Raw genomic sequence first — 18,425 nt, 5'->3', positions numbered from 1 at the left:
CTGCCCTTGCAGGCAGTATAAGCTGGGGCAAGTGAGAATTCCGATGGCACCTAATAAACCAAGCATGCCAAAATAACACCACAAAGCTTCTGCCATTGGAAACAAAGCCCACAAAATTTGACCAATACTTACGTGCTGAAAGTCAACAGGGTGACTGACTACTGAAAAAGAAGATTTAAACAGGACCCAGAGTATCCTGACAGAACAGATAAAATGTCCAGAATACAATGCAAAATTACTCATCATACCAAGAACCAAGGCAATCACAACTTGAATAAGAAAAGATAATCAACTGATGCTAATACCAAGACGAATTGAATGTTAATCATCTGACAAGATATGAAAGTAAGTGTTGAAGAAATGTCTCAACAACTAATTACACACTCTCTCAATACAAATGAAAAAACAGGAAATCTCAGCAAAGAAACACTATAAAGCAGAATCAAATGGAAATTATAGAACAAAAAAATACTATAACAAAAATGAAAGACTTTATAAATGGACTCAATAGCTGAACAGAGAAGATGAAGGACAGAATCTCTGAACTTGAGGACTGAATAATAGAATTCACCCAATCTTAACAACACAGAAAGAATAGACCGGAAAATAAAAATAAAATAAAATAAACAGTGCCCCAGAGACCAATAACAAAAGGGTGCTAATAAAAGATTCAATTTTGTATCGTTGAACTCCTAGAAGGAGAGGGGAAATAGAGAGATGCTGAGAGTATTTAAAAATATATTAGCTAAAAACTTTGCAAATTTGGTGAAAGATACAAACTACAGATCTATGAAGTTCAGCGAATACCAAACAGGGTAAACCTAGAGAAAACCAGAACAAAACATATAATAATTAAACATGAAAAACTAAAGACAACGAAAAAAAAAATCTTAAAAGCAGCCAGAGAGAAATGATGCATTCCATACAGGGAAAAGCCAATTTAAATAACAGATTTCTCATCTGAAACCATGAAGGCCAAAAGAAAGTAGCACATTTTTCAAGCACTGAAAGAAAAAAAAAATCTATCAACTATGAATTCTATATCAGGTAAAAATATCCTTGAGGAAGGAAAGGGAAATAAAAATATTCTCAGATGAAGGAAAACTAAGACAGTGTGTTGTCTGCAGAGCTCCCCTTAAAGATTTACTAAAAGAAGTTCTCCAAACAAAAAGGAAAGAATAAAAGAATCTTGGAATTTGAGGAAGTATAACCAAGCACCCATTTTTAATTTTTTTCTCTTTTCCTATCTTGCTTATTTTATGTTTAGCTTCTTAAGAAATAAAGGCTAGTCTGGTTTCTTTCCTTCCACCAGGCACAATGTTTCCCTTATTTGATTTTATGCTTGCTTAGAAAATCCAGGGACTGAATCTTGAAACAGTCCAGGGACCTATAGAATTCTCCCCAACTAGGAGATTACCTGACGGCTGCAGTTGATTTACAACCTGATTGGGCCAAGGATTGTGTCAGCCCATTCACCAGATGGGGCAATGACTCAATATAAGTTATTGGAACAAGTCATCTAGAAGGGCATCTCCTCACCCTTCCTGCATACCCATCATACCAAGCTCCCATTCTTAAGTCCTTGAATTCTGTCCAAAATTTGAAATGGCTTAAGTCATGGAGTCTCAGCCATTTCCCCACTGCTAGCTCTGGAATAAGTCACTTTCCTTCCACCACATTTCATCCCTGTTATTTGTCATTGTAAGTAGCAGGCAGCTGAACCTGCATTTGGCTACAATGTTTGGTGGCCCATATGGGAGATCTGTGCATCCTAGTGGTTTAAGCCTGGTGGTTGGCCATGGAAGGACACCAGGGCTTGTCCATCCATGTTACTGGACAGGGCAAAGGGTCTCCCCTGAGCTGCTGGTGGCTAGCTGACCTCATAGCTGGGGCTCTGGGGAACTTCCTTGAAGCTGCTGAGATATTCTTGTCTTGTCTTGGGCAATGTCCCTTCTCTTCCTGCCATGGCACTGGCTGCCTTCTATGTTTCACTGGTACAAGGAAAGTGGAATCTGAGGAAGTCAATGGGCTTCAGAACTCAGAATGTCAGCTGGACTGCACCCAGCTTTCCTTTTTCTCTTTTGGGATGTCACTTGAGCTCTGCTTTACTTAGAATTAGCTGCTTGTGACATCGTTTGGGCTTGTACACTATTTGTATTTGTGGCACCACCTGAGCTTTGTTCCATTAGGACTCAGCTACTTGTGGAGCTATTAAAAATTGAGACAAGGCTGTGGGACTCTTTACCCAGCCACTTGAGTGACAATTTGTTTAGGAGCGACCGTGTGAGTAGGGAACATTTATGCTTGGGCCCTTATTTTTCTTTCTTCTTTCTTTCTTCCTTTTCTTATCTTGCTCACTGAAATCCAGGGATCCAGCCCTGGAGGGGAACAGTTTCCACCGCGCTTATGAATGGGTAACCCTGTCTAAAGTCCCAAAGTACCTCTCATAACCGTTCCAGACTCTGTGGGGAAAAGAAGAGTGTGAACACTTCTGCAGGTTGTCAAAACAAGCTTCCCACCCTTCTTACCACACTCACTGTTGTCTATGTGAGCAGAAGGTTAAAAATATCTGGGATAAATCTCTAACCCCAATTCCAATCTCTTTGCCCTTTTTGTCTGCCTGATTCACTATCTCACTTGTTGCCCTTCAGTTATCTCTATCAAAATAGATAGACCGGGACTTGGAATAAGACTGAGGTACTAACAGATGTCATTTTCCATCTCCCCTCCCCTGCACGTGGACCTCTTTTTTGATATCCCTAACTGCATAGGCTATGTGGTGAGATTTGCGTAGGCATACCTCTTGGGATTGCAAACAACATTATTTTACACAGGTTGTGCAAAGTCAGACTGATCCATCCAACAACTAGGGGTCTAGTATCAGGAGGTGGCTTGTGGAACAAAGGCAGAGCACCAAGCAATAAGGACAGTAATCATCACAGTTTTAACAAGGTCAGACAGTACAAGTGCAGAAACCAAGTCAGAATAAGCAAAAGGACTGCTTTCTTTCTTTTTTTTTTGAGATGGAGTCTCACTCAGGCTGGAGTGCAGTGGTGTGAACCTGGCTCACTGCAACCTCCACCTCCCAGGTTCAGGTGATTCTCCTGCCTCAGCCTCCTGAGTAGCTGGGATTACAGGCATGTGCCACCACGCCCAGCTAATTTTTGTATTTTTAGTAGAGATGGGGTTTCGCCATGTTGGCCAGGATGGTCTCGATCTCTTGACCTCATGATCTGCCCGCCTCGGCCTCCCAAAGTGCTGGGAGTATAGGTGTAAGTCACCATGCCCAGCCAAGCAACAAGATTTCTATCTCCTTCCTCCCCAGAAGCCCCTTGGGGTACATTCTGGGCAACTGAAGGGCTTACAGCTATGAGCCCAAGACTAAGAGAAAGATGATTTGTTACTGTAATACTGTCTGGACTCTATACCATGAAGATGATAATGAATTTTGGCTTCTGAAAGAAAGTACCCAGTATTGGACCCTAATCCAGCTAAAATTATTTTGTCAAAGGACTGGGAAATGAGAATAAATACCATAATGCCAGGCTTTCATGTTATTGCATAATCGGGATCCCAGTTGGGATGGGAGGATAAGGGAGCGGGCACCAACTCTTAGCTGTGCAGAAAGACCGAACGAAAATTCTTCCAGATAGTTGTATCCAGAAAGAAAAAGATGAGGAAGATCTCACCCTTTTAAAATGCCCTGAATCTGGCTGTTCTGGAAGTGACTGTTCCTGCAGCTGCAGCTCAGCCTGTGGCCACCCTCCCCCTTACAGATCCTGCCACAGCAGCAGCTCCAGCAACCCTTCCCAAGGCTGCAGCAGCAGCCCCGCCTATGACCACAGTACCGCCTCTCCCCCTGGCCAATGTCTCAACTGCTTTGTCCCCACCATAAAAGGAGCCAGACCTAGAAGGAGGGGCTGCTGCCCTTCCAGAGTATGATGAGGGAACTGGAATGGTCTCCCTCTCCAGGACCCAGTAGGGCACCTGATTTGCACAGAGCAATACCATGACCAGAGCAGGGCAATTCCCACTTAGGCAAATATCCGTGGGTGGCTTAGATGAAAACAAGCAGCCTGCCAGACATTATTGGGCTTACAACCCATTTCCAATGCCTGTTTTATTCAATCAGAAAAGTTCCAACCCACCTTATAAAGAGGATCCTCAGAAAATGACAGACCTCTTTGAATGTATTTTTGCCACCCATCAGCCCACTTAAGCAGATGTTTGAGCCTCTATTAACTGGCTGCTAACTGCAGATGAAAGGAGACTAGTAATGGAGAAGGCAAATAAGGAATCTCAGGGTCTCTCTGAGACCAATCCAAATAATAATCCTGATCCTGCTGGAGTTGCTCCACGCACAAACCCAAATTGGGATCCCAATCAAACTGGGGACATGGCCCACCTGGAACGTTACTGATGTGCATCCTGGTAGGAGTTAGAGGACTAATGCCCAAACGAGAGTTTAAACAGAGTTCAGACAGTCCTCCAAAAGATGAATGAGGATCCCTCTGAATTCTTAGAACATATTTACCAAATCTTCCATAGATATACTGGTAAAAATCCAGATGATCTGAAGAATTCAAGACTACTGAACATGACTTTCATTCGGTAGAGTGATCTCAATATAAAGAGAAAGTTAAAAAAACAGGGTGCTGCACTGGGAATGGCCTCTTCCCAGTTAATGGATGTTGCTTCCAAAGTATACAATGGCAGGGAGGAAAAGAATCAAAAGCCCACCACTACATATGTGGTATGGGCAGGAAAGCCTCTGAGAAACCAGCACATGACTCTGGGTAGCAAACAATGGGCCTATTGTAGAAAGGAAGGCCATTGGAAAGACAGCTGCCCAAAATTAAAGGGCCCAGAGGGCCAGAGAAAAGCTGAATCCACTCAGGATAGAGGACACAGGCAAATAATGGGACAAGGTTGTGGCCTTGATGATGAACAGAGATATCTGGAGGCTCCCTTAAATCTCTCCGAGCCAATTAAAATTTCCCCACAGGAGCCCCAGGTACAACTGACAGTGGGGAACAAGCTAATCAATTTCCTGGTCAATACAGATGCCACTTACTCAGTTCTTAACACAACAGAAGCACAAAGCACCAAATGGCAGTACCTATAACAGGAGTTGTAAGAACAATAAAACTTTCTCACAACCTCTAGAGTGAAAACTGGGAGGCCTGGAACTAAAGAAACAGCTTTCTCTATATGTCAGAATGCCCAATCCCTCCACTGGGATATGACCTGCTATAAATTAAATGCTCAAGTAACTTTCTGCCTGAGAAGCAGCAATTACACTTACAGGTCCTGCTGGAACAAGCACTACAGCTACAAATACTACTCACTCACCCTGAGAAGAAGGAAGATAAAGCCTTTCCTTTGGAAATCTACAAAAGGGTAAGTAATTGCATTTGGGTAGACAGAACCTTAGAGACCAAAACAACCTTCTAATATTGTTTGATGGTGTTGCCTCAAGGGTTCAAAAATTGGCACACTATCTTTGAGGAAATATTGGCAAAGAACTTGAGAAGCTTACAACTAGATAAAGGAGTTCTGCTATGATATGTAGATGACTTACCAATAGCAAGCCTTGATTATGAAAAATGAATGTCCAACATGATTCTAGTCCTAAATCACCTGGCCCAATGTGGATATAATGTGTCTCTGCAGAAGGCCCAAATCTTCAAACAAAAAGTAACCTTTCTCAGCTTCAGGTTGAAGCAGGGCAAAAGGAGCCTAACGACTGACAGAAAGTTGGCCATCAAAGCTCCAGAGAATAGAAGGTATTTGCAAGGACTCAGAAATAGCTGGCTTCTGCTAGATTTGAATCCCTAGTTTTGGGTTAATGGCTAAAGTATTCTATGAAGATTTACAGGAACTATACTCAGAACTCCTGTCCTGGACAAATGAATGTCAACAGGCATTTGATGTCATCAAAGAAACACTGATAACAGCCTGAGTGTTGGGATTGCTGGACCCCCAGAAGCCATGCATGCTCTATGTCCATGGGAAACAAGGCATAGATCTGGATGTGCTTCTCCAAATGCTTGGAGACACCCTGCAACTCATAGCCTATTTCTCCAAACAGTTGGACTGAACAACCAAGGGGTGGCCCCCTGCCTTTAGGCAGTGGCAGCCACCTGTGAAATCCTACAGGAAGCATAAAAATTTAGCCTGGGACAATTGGTCACTGTGTTCATGCCTCATGAGGTATTGACTTTGCTGGAACAAAAGGAGGCTACTGGCTCATTGCAGGGTGAATGGGCGAATACCAGACCATCTTCTTTGATGATGCAAACATTAACTTACAAACCACTATCACTTTAAACCCTGTTACACTGTTTCCAGCCATGGAACCCAACCTTGGGTGATAGCATGACTGTTTGGAAATCTTTAGTGCAGTCTATTCCAGGAGGCTGGACCTGTCAGATCAGCCAATGAATACTCCAGATTGGAAGCTATACCTTGACAGGAGTACTTTCATGGAAGGTGGAAAACACAGAACTGGGTATGCTGCGGTGACTACTGACAGGTTAATAGAAACTCATGCTCTGACAGTACTGCTGCACAGAGGGCTGAGCTACCTGGCCTAACCAGGGCCCTAGAGCTGTCCCAAGGAAAGTGAATAAACATTTACACTGACTGCAAATATGCCTTCATGGTAGTGTGTTGTGGGAAGGCAGGGTCCCTGAACAGAGGGACCGGCTGAAGCCACGGCAGAAGAACATAAATTGTGAAGATTTCATGGACATTTATTAGTTCCCAAAATTAAAACTTTTATAATTTCTTACACCTATGTTTACTGCAATCTCTGAACATAAATTGTGAAGATTTCATGGACATTTATCACTTCACCAATCAATACTCTTATAATTTCCTGTGCCTGTCTTTAATCTCTTAATCCCATCATCTTCGTAAGCTGAGGATGTATGTCACCTCAGGACCCTGTGATGATTGCATTAACTGTACAAATTGTTTGCAAAACGTGTGTTTGAACAATCAAACAAATCAGGGCACCCTGAAAAAGAACAGAATAACAGCAATTTTTAGGGAACAAGGAAAAATAACCATAAGGTCTGACTGCCTGCGGGGTCGGGAAGAATACAGCCATATTTTTCTTCTGGCAGGGAGCCTATAAACAGACGTGTGAGTAGGAGAAATATCACTGAATTCTTTTCCCAGCAAGGAATATTAATAATTGATAACCCTGGGGAAGGAATGCATTCCCAGGGGTAGGTCTATAAACGACAGCTCTGGGAGTGTCTGTCTTATGCGGTTGAGATAAGGGATGAAATACACCCTGGTCTCCTGCAGTGCCCTCAGGCTTACTAGGATTGGGAAATTCCAGCCTGGTGAATTCTAGTCAGACCGGTTGTCTGCTCTCAAACCCTGTTTCCTGTTAAGATGTTTATCAAGACAATGTGTGCCCAGTGGGACATGGACCTTTATCAGTAATTCTAATTTTGCCCTTGCCTTGTGATCTTGCTCTGCCCTTTGCCTTGTGATCTTTTATTGCCCTTTGAAGCATGTAACACCCCCTCCCCTTTCAAAATCCCTAATAAAAATTTGCTAGTTTTGCAGCTCGAGGTCGCCATCACAGTCCTACCAATATGTAATGGCACCCCTGGAGGCCCAGCTGTAAAATTCTTCTCTTTGTACTCTTTCTCTTTATTTCTCAGACCAGCTGACACTTAGGGAAAATAGAAAGCAACCTATGTTGAAATATTGGAGGCTGGTTCTCCCGATAGTAGTGTATGCTCACAGAGCCATCTGGAAAAAGAGAGAGCTCCTAACATCAGGAAATAAGGACATTAAACACCCAGTGGGAATTTTAGCCCTGTTAGGAGCAGTTTCTGTGCCTACCCAGGCCTCCATCATGCACCCTCCTGGACACCAGAAAGATGACTCACAAAAAGCCAAAGCAAATCGAACAGCTCATATGGCTGCAAAGTGGTCCACTTGGGAAGCAGAGATGTCAGGGACCTTCATATTCATTTGGATTTGTCAGATTTTAAACTCCATTCCACTGAGAAAGATGAAAAGTGCCCCAGGGTCTGGGGCTTTAGTAAAACAGACCCAGATTAACTGTGGAAAACTGATGCCTATGGAATAATTTCGCTCCCTGAGGCCCTGGTTTATCCGATTTTAAAACATCTACATAAGGGAACACACTATAGGAGAGATACTCTTGCCAACCTAATATGGACTTACCTCAGGGGACCACACCTCCAGAAGACTATTCAGAAAATAATGCAAGGACATGTTTTATGCAGTAAGAATAATCCCAAAACTTAAATCACTACCCTCCCACCCACTAGGGGTGTGCAATACAAAGGCTATGCCATTTTGAGGACAAACAGGTTTACTTCACTCAAGTCTCACTCAAATACCCAAGGCCAGTAAGAATTATAGGTTTCTTTTGGTATTTGTGGACACCTGTTGGGGATGGGTCGAGGCATATCTTGCTAAATTTGAGAGAGTTACAGAGGTAGCCAAAGCATTACTGAAGGAAGTCATTTCCAGGTTTGGACACCCATTCACTATACAAAATGACAACGGCTCTTCCTTTATTTCAGAAGTTATCCAGAAGGTAAGTCAAGCATTACAGATTTAATAAAAATTGCATTTGTCATGGAGACTGCAATCGATGGGGAAAACAGAGAAGATGAACTACACCTTAAAGAATATGATGGCCAAACTCTGCCAGGAAGGCAATCTGAGTTGGGATAAGATTTTGCCTGTTGCCTTGCTCCAAATCAGAGTAGAACCATGAAGTGGGCTTGTATTGAGCCTCTTTAAAATTACATATGGGAGACCATTCCAGACCCCTTTGCCAGGGATCCCACCTTTGAATCTGTTCAGTGAGTCCAGGGTTAAATAATATGTACAATAATTAGAACAGACATTACTATGTGGCAATTTGCTCTTTCCAGGTCTGCCTACTCCACAGATGAGCTTCTTTACCTGTTCCATCCAGGGGACAAGGTGCCATTAAAGTCCTGGAAAAATCAAGGACCAAATCAACAACTGGCTGAAAAATGGACTGGATCCCATGATGAGATGCTGACCTCTCATTCATCAGTCAACCTGTCCAGAACGAAACCATGGGTCCACCACTCTGAAATAAAGGTGGCTTCACCCTAGCTTGACCCCACAGAGGAGGCTGCTTGGACATGTGAGCCAAAAGAAGAGATTAAAATACTACTTAAGAAAAACCACAAATAAGTAAAGCCCTATTTTTAATTTCCTGTAGAATGAATAGAATGAAACACTTGCAGGCTGGGCAACATAGTGAGACTTTGTCTTTATAAATAATAATGATAATAATAATATTAATAAACAATTAGCCGAGTATAGCAGTGCACATCTGTGGTCCCAGATACTCAGAAGGTTGAGGTGGGGGGATCACTTGAGTCCAGGTGGTCGAAGCTGGAGTGAGCCATGATTGCACCACTGCATTCTAGCCTGGGTGACAATGCAAGACCTTGTCTCAACAAACAAACAAACAAACAAACAAACCCTTATTTCTCTGCCCTGCTGGGTATCACCTACACAGGAAAATGCCTGGCCACACTTGCAAGTCTTCACAGAAGACCTTAAGTAGTGGACAGGGGAATAGATGTCAGGTGTAACTGGAAAAGATACAGCCCAATGGCCCATAAATAAGACTCTCAATGACTCTGGACTTGGGAAGCCTTTCTCGATAAATGTAACACAAGAAACAGTAACCACACTGGCCCCTCCTCTACTAGATACAAAAATGATGGCCCAAGAAGTAAGGCCCCAGAACTCTCACTATAAAAACAGGTTTCTTCAAATCTAGGAAAGCTTTATATGGATGACAAATCAGCAGGACACTTAAGTCAGATAGCCCCTCAAACCATGGCCAGATACTCGAGTCATGGGCTGGATTCCCTCAGAACAGCATTGACATATCATAGTTCTATGGGAAAGGGGGATGGCTGCAAGCGACTGATCCCAGTGACCTGGCATTAACTGGTATGCTTCTAATGGAATTCAGTGGTTTTGTGGTATAAACCTGGCTATCATCAGGATGGCCAGGACACTGTACAGTGGGCCTCTCCTGGGCTCAGGGACACTGGACAAAGACTACAGAATAACACGCTAATCTTCCTCACATGGTTAAAAGATGAACCAAGTACATTTTTCGCTGGTACAATCACCTAGCTTCTATGTTCCTCCATCCCTGGGTCTGGATGATGTCATCTGGCACATGGAAGCCCTTGCTAATTACACCCAAGGGGCTCTAAATGACAGTATACATCTCTGATAAGTGGCAAAATGTACCACATGCATAAAGCTGTTTTACAAAATCAGAAGGAACTAGTTTTTTTTTTTTTTTTTTTTTGAGATGGAGTTTCACTCTTGTCACCCAGGCTGGAGTGCAATGGCTCGATCTCGGCTCACTGCAACCTCTGCCTCTCAGGTTCAAGCGATTCTCCTGCCACAGCCTCCTGAGTAGCTGGAACTACAGGCACATGCCACCATGCCCAGCTAATTTTTTGTATTTTTAGCAGATATGGGATTTCACCATGTTGGCGAGGCTGGTCTCGAACTCCTGACCTCAGGTGATCCACCCGCCTCAGCCTCCCAAAGTGCTGGGATTACAGGTATGAGCCACCGTGCCCAGCTGGCACTAGATATTCTAATGGCTGTTCAAGGGGGCACCTTTGCCTACATTAAAACCAAGTGTTATATAATACATTCTAGACAACTTGGGAAATATCTCATTAGCCCTAAATAATATGCATAAACAAATTCACATCACGTCTGACCCTACATTTCCACTAGATCAATGATTTGCACTCTGATTCAGGTCAGGACCATCCTGGTGGAAAAAGTTACTTGTGACCTTGATGATAATTGCAGGAATAGGCATACTTCTTTGCTGTGGATCCTACTACTGTTAAATATTCTGCATGGGAATGCAAGATAGACTTTCCCAGAGGCTTGCAACCCTTGTATTACAATGCTCCAACAGGCTTCCTTCATGAGCCCAGGTACTTGAAAATATTTTCAACTCCAAGTAAATCAGTTCCATTCCAATGTCCTTTAACTACACCCCATTCAGCAGGAAGTAGCCAGAATGCATATCCACTATCCATAGGAAGAGAATGGAATTAGCTGCCAGCAGAGAGTTGTAACCAAATACCCTATTTTTAAATATCTTTTCTTTTCCTTCCTTGTTTATTTTATGTTTAGCTTCTTAATAGCAAAATGGTAACCTTTGCTTACTTTCCTTCCACCAGGTACCCCCTTGCACCATGTTTCCCTTATCTAATTGAATGCTTACTTAGAAGTTCCAGGGACTAAATCTTGAAACAATCCAGGCACCTATGAAATTCTTCCCCACTAGGCAGTTATCTGAAGACTGCAGTTAATTTACAACCTGACTGTGCCTGGTATGATGCCAGCCCATTCACCAGATGGGACAATAACTCAAGTCATCAGAACAAGTCATGTAGCCTTGTAACCCCTCACCACTCCTGAGTGCCCTTAAGAACCAATTTCTGCTTCTTAAACTCTTGCATTTTGTCCAACATTTGAAATGGCTTCTTTAAGGCATAGAGCCTTTGCCATTTCTCTACTGCTAGCTCTGCAATAAGTCACTGCCCTCCCACTGCACTCATACCTGTTATTTGTCTTCGCAAGTGGTGAACAGTAGAACCTGGGTTTGGTTACAGAAGTATCAGGAAGGAAGAAGGAAAAAGGAAAAGAGCAGAAATGCAGGACAGACAGTAGACTATCCTTTTCCCAAAATTGTATACATCATATTTGATTATTTTTTAAAATTACAGCATTCTGCTATATAAGACAATGTTATTTCAAATGGGAAAGTTACAATGACCAAAATAGAGGTTTTCGTACCTTGCCTGAAGTGATAAAATGTTAATAACAGTACACTGTCATAAGTTTATTTTTGCCAGAGAAACCACTATGAAAACTATAGAAAAAGATACACCCAAACACAGTATAAGTAAAGGTGGAATCCTTTTAAAACGTTCAAGTATCTTGTAGGAAAACAAGAAGAGACAAACATGGGAAACAAATGGAAACAAATAATTTAATGTTTTACCATCTTAAAGTGCAGGGCCCAATGGCTATTAGTGTATTAGTATATTTAGAGTGAATTTTCCAACACCACAAGCAATTTTAAAATAGTTTCATTACCCCATAAAGAAACCCTGGATCACCTGGCAATCACCTTCCCTGCAACCCAAGCCCCTAAAAAGGGTATCTCCAGGCCCAGATAGTGTCACTGGAGAATTCTACCACATATTTAAAGAATAGTAATTTTACACAATATCTTTCAGAAAATAGAAAATAGACTACTTTTCAACTTATCTTATGAGTCCATGTATTAGTCTATTCTTGCACTGCTATAAAGAGATACCTGAAACTGGGTAATTTATAAAGAAAAGAGGTTTAATTGGCTCACAGTTCTGCAGGCTGTACATGCATGGCACTGGCATCTTCTCAGCTTCTGGGGTGGCCTCAGGGAGCTTTTACTCACAGCAGAAAGCAGAGTGGGAGCAGGCACTTCACATGGCAAAAGCCAGAGGAAGAGGGAGAGGGGAGTGGGGAGAGGTGCCACACTGTAAAACAACCAGATCTCCTGACAACTCACTATCACGAGGACAGCACCTAGCCATGAGGGATCGTCCCCCATAACCCAAACACCTCCCACCAGGCCACACCTCCAGCACTGGGGGTTACAGTTCAACATGAGATTTAGAGGGGACACATATTGAAACCGCATCAGTCCAGTATTACCCTGATATCAAAACCAGATAGAGACAGAACAACAACAACAACAACAACAAAAAGAATGAAAGCTACAGACAAGTATCTCTCATGAACTTAGAGGCAAAAATTCTCAAAAAAAAAATTAGTAAACCAACTCCAACAATATGTAAAAAGAATTACACATCATGACCAATTGATTTTTGAGATTTATTCCAGGTATGCAAGGTAGGTTCAACATTCAAAAATTAATCTGTGTAATCCATCATATCAACAAGCGAATGAAGAAAAATCATTTGATAATACCAATTGACATATAAAAAGCACTTGTCCAAATGTGACATCCATTCATGATAAAATTCACAGCAAGTTAGGATAGAGGGAAATCACTTCAACTGATAAAAGGAATCCACGGAAAAACCTGTATCTAACACCATACTTAATGAAAACATAAATGCTTTTTCTCTAAGATCAGGAATAAGATAAGGATTTCAACTATCACCAGTCTTGTTAAACATGGTACTGGAAATCCTAGTCAGCACAACAAGGCAAGTAAAATAAAGAGCAGACATAACGAAGAGAAAGAGATAATACTGTCTCTATTTACAGAGGACTTCACTGTCTACATAGAAAATCCCAAAGAATCCACACAAAAAAAAATCTTAGAATATATGAGTTCATCAAGTTCACAGATTATAAGATAAACATTTCTAAGGCCACCCCACACTGAACATGCCTGATCTCTTATGATTTCGGGAGCTAAGCAGGATCTAGCCTGGTTGGTACTTGGATGAGAGATTATAAGATCAAAACCAAAAAATTAATCCCATTTCTATATACCAACAATGAACATGCAGAAACTGAAATTAAGCAATAACACCATCTATAGTCATTCATAAGAAAATGAAATACTGTGGCATAAACTTTATAAACTATGCATAGTACTTATATACTAAAAATTATAAAGTGCTGTTGAAAAAATTAAAGAAGTCGTACCTATATAGGAAAACATACCGCATCCATAGAATGGACTATTTATCATAATAAATGTGTCAAATCTCCCCAAATTGAACTACAAGTTTGATGCAATGCCTGTCAAATTCCAAGCAAAATTTTTGTAGACACAGACAAGCTTATTCTAAATTTAATTGAAAAGACATATGTTCTTGACTATTTGAAGCAATCTTTACAAAGAAAAATGGAGGAGGAATTATTCTACATCATATTAAGGTTTACTGTATGGCTAAGTAATCATAGCAATGTGATATTGTTGGGGAGATAGGCACATAGATCAATGGTACAGTCAGAAGACCTAGAAATAGATCCACACAAATACACTCCATTGATTTGTGATAAAGGTACTGAAGAATGCCCATTCAACAAATGTTACTGGAGCAACGGGACATTGACAGGCAAAAAAAGAAAACAAACAAACAAACAAACAAAAAACAAAAACAAAACAAAAAAAAAACCTGATCTAAAGCTCACACTTTACACAAAAACTAGCTCAAAGAAATAGACAAATGAAAAATATAAACTGTAAAATTTTTAGGAAAAAAGGAGAAAACCTTTAAGGTCTAGGCCTTGGAAAAGAGTCTTTAAATGTGATACCAAAAGTACAAGCCATAAAAGGAAAAAAAAAAAAAAATGGGCCGGGTGCAGTGGCTCATACCTGTAATTCCAGCACTTTGGGATGTTGAGGCGGGCAGATCACCTGAGGTCAGGAGTTCGAGACCAACCTGACCAACACGGAGAAACCCTGCCTCTACTAAAAATACAAGAATTAGCCAGGCATGGTGGCGCATGCCTGTAATCCCAGCTACTCGGGAGGCTGTGGTGGGAGAATCACTTGGACCTGGGAGGCGGAGGCTGCAGTGAGCCGAGATCACGCCATTGCACTCCAGCCTGGACAACAAGAGCGAAACTCCAAAAAAAAGAAAAAAAAAAAGGAAAAAAATGATAAATTTAATGTCATCAAAATTTAAAACTTCAGCTCTGTGAAATTCCAAGCAAAGAGGATGAAAAGACAAGGCATAAACTGAGAGAAAATATTTGCAAACAACAATCCAATGAAACTAGTATCTTGAATATATACAGAAGTCTCACAACTCAACAATTTAAAAAAAAGACAATTCAATTAGAGAATGGGCAAAAGACATAAACAGACATTTCACCAGAGAAGATATACAGATAGCAGATAAGCATATGAAAAGATGTTCAATATCATTAGCCATTAGGAAAATGCAAATTAAAACTACAATGAGATACCACTACATACCTTTCAGGATGGCTAAAATTAAAAAAAAAATTAGCGACAACATCAAATGCTAGCAAGGATGACAAAGAACTGGATCACATATACATACTGGCAGAATTATAAAATAGCACAGCCACTTTGGGAAAACAGTTTTGAAGTTTTGCAAAAAAAATTAAACATGCAACTACCATATGACCCAGCAACTGTGCTCCTGGACGTTTATCCAATTTATGCGATCCTGATGTATTTCAGAGAAATAAAGATTTATCTTATTTATCTTCACACAAAAACTAGAACACGAATATTCATTGTACTTGTAATTGTAATAGCTAAAATTGAAATCAGGCCAGATGTCATTCAAGAAATGAATGTTTAAGCAAACTGTGGTATATACCATGAAATTCTATTCCACTATACAAAGGAACAGGCTACTGATATATGCAACAACTTGGTTGAATCTGCAGAGGATTATGTGGAGTTAAAGCCAATCACAAAATATTAAATACTGTATGATTTGAGTTATAGAACACTATTGAAGTGATCAAATTTTTAGAAATGGAAGACAGGTTAGTGGTAAGGTATAGAGGGTAAGGGGCTGAGAGGCACTGGGGCTCAGAAACAGATACTCCAAAATATGGCACTTTGACATACAGAACTGAGGAAGTCTCAAGGTTTCTCTGACTTCCCCACCACTACCCCCACCCCCTGGACCCCCCCGCCCACCAGCCTACACACACACACACTCCTGTCTCTCAACCCTCCTTACCAAAGCACAGGATGAAATTGTTCTCTGAAGTTCTCTTATCTGCCTAAGATCTGGACCCACCAAAGAAAAAATCAAGTACTTCTGGTCCCTTTTCTGATTTTTCATTAATTAAACTCAGATTGAAAAAATTAAGGCTGACATCTGTTAACACACCTGGACAGTCATTTGTCATAAATCACTGCCTGCTCTACAAGCCCAACAGACTTTGTCTCAGGCAAATGTATGTTTATCAAGCCCATTAAATACCCCTAAAATCATTTACTATATCTCTAAAATTACTCACATTTCCCTATCCCCCTTTCCCGTAAGAAGAAGGACATATAATCATCTGTACCCCATTTGCATAGTGGGGCAATCACTCTGTGATTTTTGTATCCTCCGTGCACATTAATAAATTTGTATGATTTTTCTCCTTATTATTCTTCCTTTTGTCAGTTGATTTGCAACAAACTTTCAGAGAGTTAAGTGAAAGTTTTCCCTTTGCCCTTACAGAGAAAAGAGGTGGGAATATTTATAAAAAGGGAACATGGTTGGGCACAGTGGCTCATGTCTGTAATCCTGGCACTTTGTGGGGGCTAAGGCAGGATTGCTTGAGCACAAGAGTTTGAAACCAGCCTGGACAACATAGCGAGACTTGGTGTTTAATGTAAAAATCAAAACATTAGTTGCACGTGGTAGCATGCACCTGTAGTCCCAGCTACTCAGGAGGCTGAGGCAGGAGGAATTGCTTATTCCAGGGAGATCAATGCTGCAGTGAACTATGATCGTGCCACTGCACTCAGCCTAGGTGACAGAGTGAGACCCTGTCTCAAAGAAAAAAAAAGTGCTATGGTTTGAATATATGTCTACACCAAATCTCATGTTGAATTGTGATCCCCAGTGTTGGAGGTGGGCCCTGGTGGGAGGGTTTGCATCATGAGGGCAGATCCCTCATGGCGTGGTGCTGTCCTCATGATAGTGAGTGCGTCCTCATAACAGTGAGTGACTACTCATGAGATAAGTTTGTTTAGAGGTGTATGGCATCTCCTCACTACTCTCTCTCTCTTACTGCCTCTCTCAGCACATAAGATGCCTTCTCCCTCTTTACCTTCCACCATAATTGTATGCTTCCTGAGGCCCTCACCAGAAGCTAAACAGATGCCTGGCACAATGCCTCCTGTACAGCCTATAGAACCATGAGCCAATGAAACCTATTTTCTTTATAAATGACCCATGATCAGGTATTTATTTATAGCAATGCAGGAATGGCCTAACACATAAAATTGGTACCAGGAGTATGGTATTGCTATTAAAATAGTGAAAACGTATAGGTGACTTTGGAACTGGGTAACAGGCAGAGATTGAAAGAGTTTGGGGGACTCAGAAGAAGATAGGAGATGGGGAAAGTTTGGAATTTTTAAAGACTGGTTAAAGGATTGTGACTAAAATATTGATATAAATATCGACAGTGAAAACCAGGCTGATGAGGTTTCAGATGGAAATGAGGAACTTATTGGAAATTACAACAAAGGTCACCCATTTTATGCCATAGCAAAGAACTGGGCTGCATTGTGTTCATGCCCTAGGGATCTGTGGAAGTTTGGGCTTCAAATGGATTATTTAGGGTATCTACAGAAGGAAATTTCTAAGCAGCAAAGCATTCAAGAAATGGCCTGGCTGCTTTTAATAGCTTATGCTCAGATGTGGGAGCAATGAAACAACAAAGTTAGACTTTACATTTAAACAGGAAGCAGATCAAAAAATGTTTGGAAAATCTGCAGCCTTGCCATATTATGGAAAAGAAAAGCAAGTTTTCAAGGCATAAATTAAAGCAGGGTGACTTACTTGCCACAGAAATTTGTATACCTAAAAAGGAGGCAAGTGCAATTAGCCAAGACAATGGGAAAAAGGCCTAGAAGGCACTTCACAGATCTTCCAGACAGCCCAAATCACAAGCCCAGAGACCTAAGAGGACTAGATGATTTCATGGGCCAGGCCTGGGGTGCCACTGCACTCCACCACCCCAGGAGGCTGATGTCTGCATCCCTGCTGCTTTCAGCTCCAGCCATGGCTCAAAGAGCCTGAGATACAACTCAGGCAACTGCTTTAGAGGGTGCAAGCTGTAAGCCTTGGTGGCTCCTATGTGGTATTAAGCCTGTAGGCATACAGAGTGAAAGCATGAAGGAGACATGGCAGCCTCTGCCTAGATTTCAGAGGATGTATCAGAAAGCCTGGGTGTCCAGGCAGAAGCCTGCTGCAGGGGCAGAGTGCTCACAGAAATCCTCTACTAGGGCAGTACAAAGAAAAAATGTGGGGCTGAAGGCCCCACACAGTGGGCACTGTGTAGTGGAGCTGTGGGAATGAGGCCACGGTCCTCCATATTCCAAAATGGTAGATCCACCAGCAGCTTTCACCTTGTGCCTGGAAAAGCTGCAGGTACTCAACAATCTGTGAGAGCAGCTGTGGAAGCTAAAATATGTAAAGGCATAGGTGTGGAGCTGCCCAAGACCTTAGGGGCCCACCTCTTGCAGAATTGTGCCCTGGATGGGGGACATGGAGTCAAAGAAGACTATTTCAGAGCTTTAAGATTTAGTTACTGCCATCCCCGGTTTTGAACTCTCATGGAGCCTGTAGCCCCTTTCTTTTGGCTATTTC

General features: G+C 41.6%; 1 protein-coding gene across 4 annotated transcripts in view, besides 1 other annotated feature; it reads right to left on the bottom strand.

Annotated features, from left to right (window-relative positions):
• SGCD (sarcoglycan delta) overlaps positions 1-18,425 on the bottom strand; it is a 1,039,957-nt gene that overhangs the window by 669,776 nt on the left and 351,756 nt on the right. The gene's annotated exons all lie outside the window — the stretch shown is intronic.
• Positions 6,697-7,896: an enhancer, noted in NCBI's record as "BRD4-independent group 4 enhancer chr5:155517127-155518326 (GRCh37/hg19 assembly coordinates)". NCBI's record gives its function as "activates an origin of replication core promoter dependent on BRD2, P300/CBP, MED14 and CDK7 cofactors, and independent of BRD4, by STARR-seq in HCT116 cells {active_cell/tissue: HCT116}" and the evidence as "EXISTENCE:reporter gene assay evidence [ECO:0000049][PMID:35650434]".

Source organism: Homo sapiens, chromosome 5 (genome assembly GCF_000001405.40).
Source record: "Homo sapiens chromosome 5, GRCh38.p14 Primary Assembly".
NCBI classification, from domain to species: Eukaryota; Metazoa; Chordata; class Mammalia; order Primates; family Hominidae; genus Homo; species Homo sapiens.
Note: the sequence above shows the minus strand (reverse complement) of the source record. Positions and strands in the feature narration are given on the sequence as shown.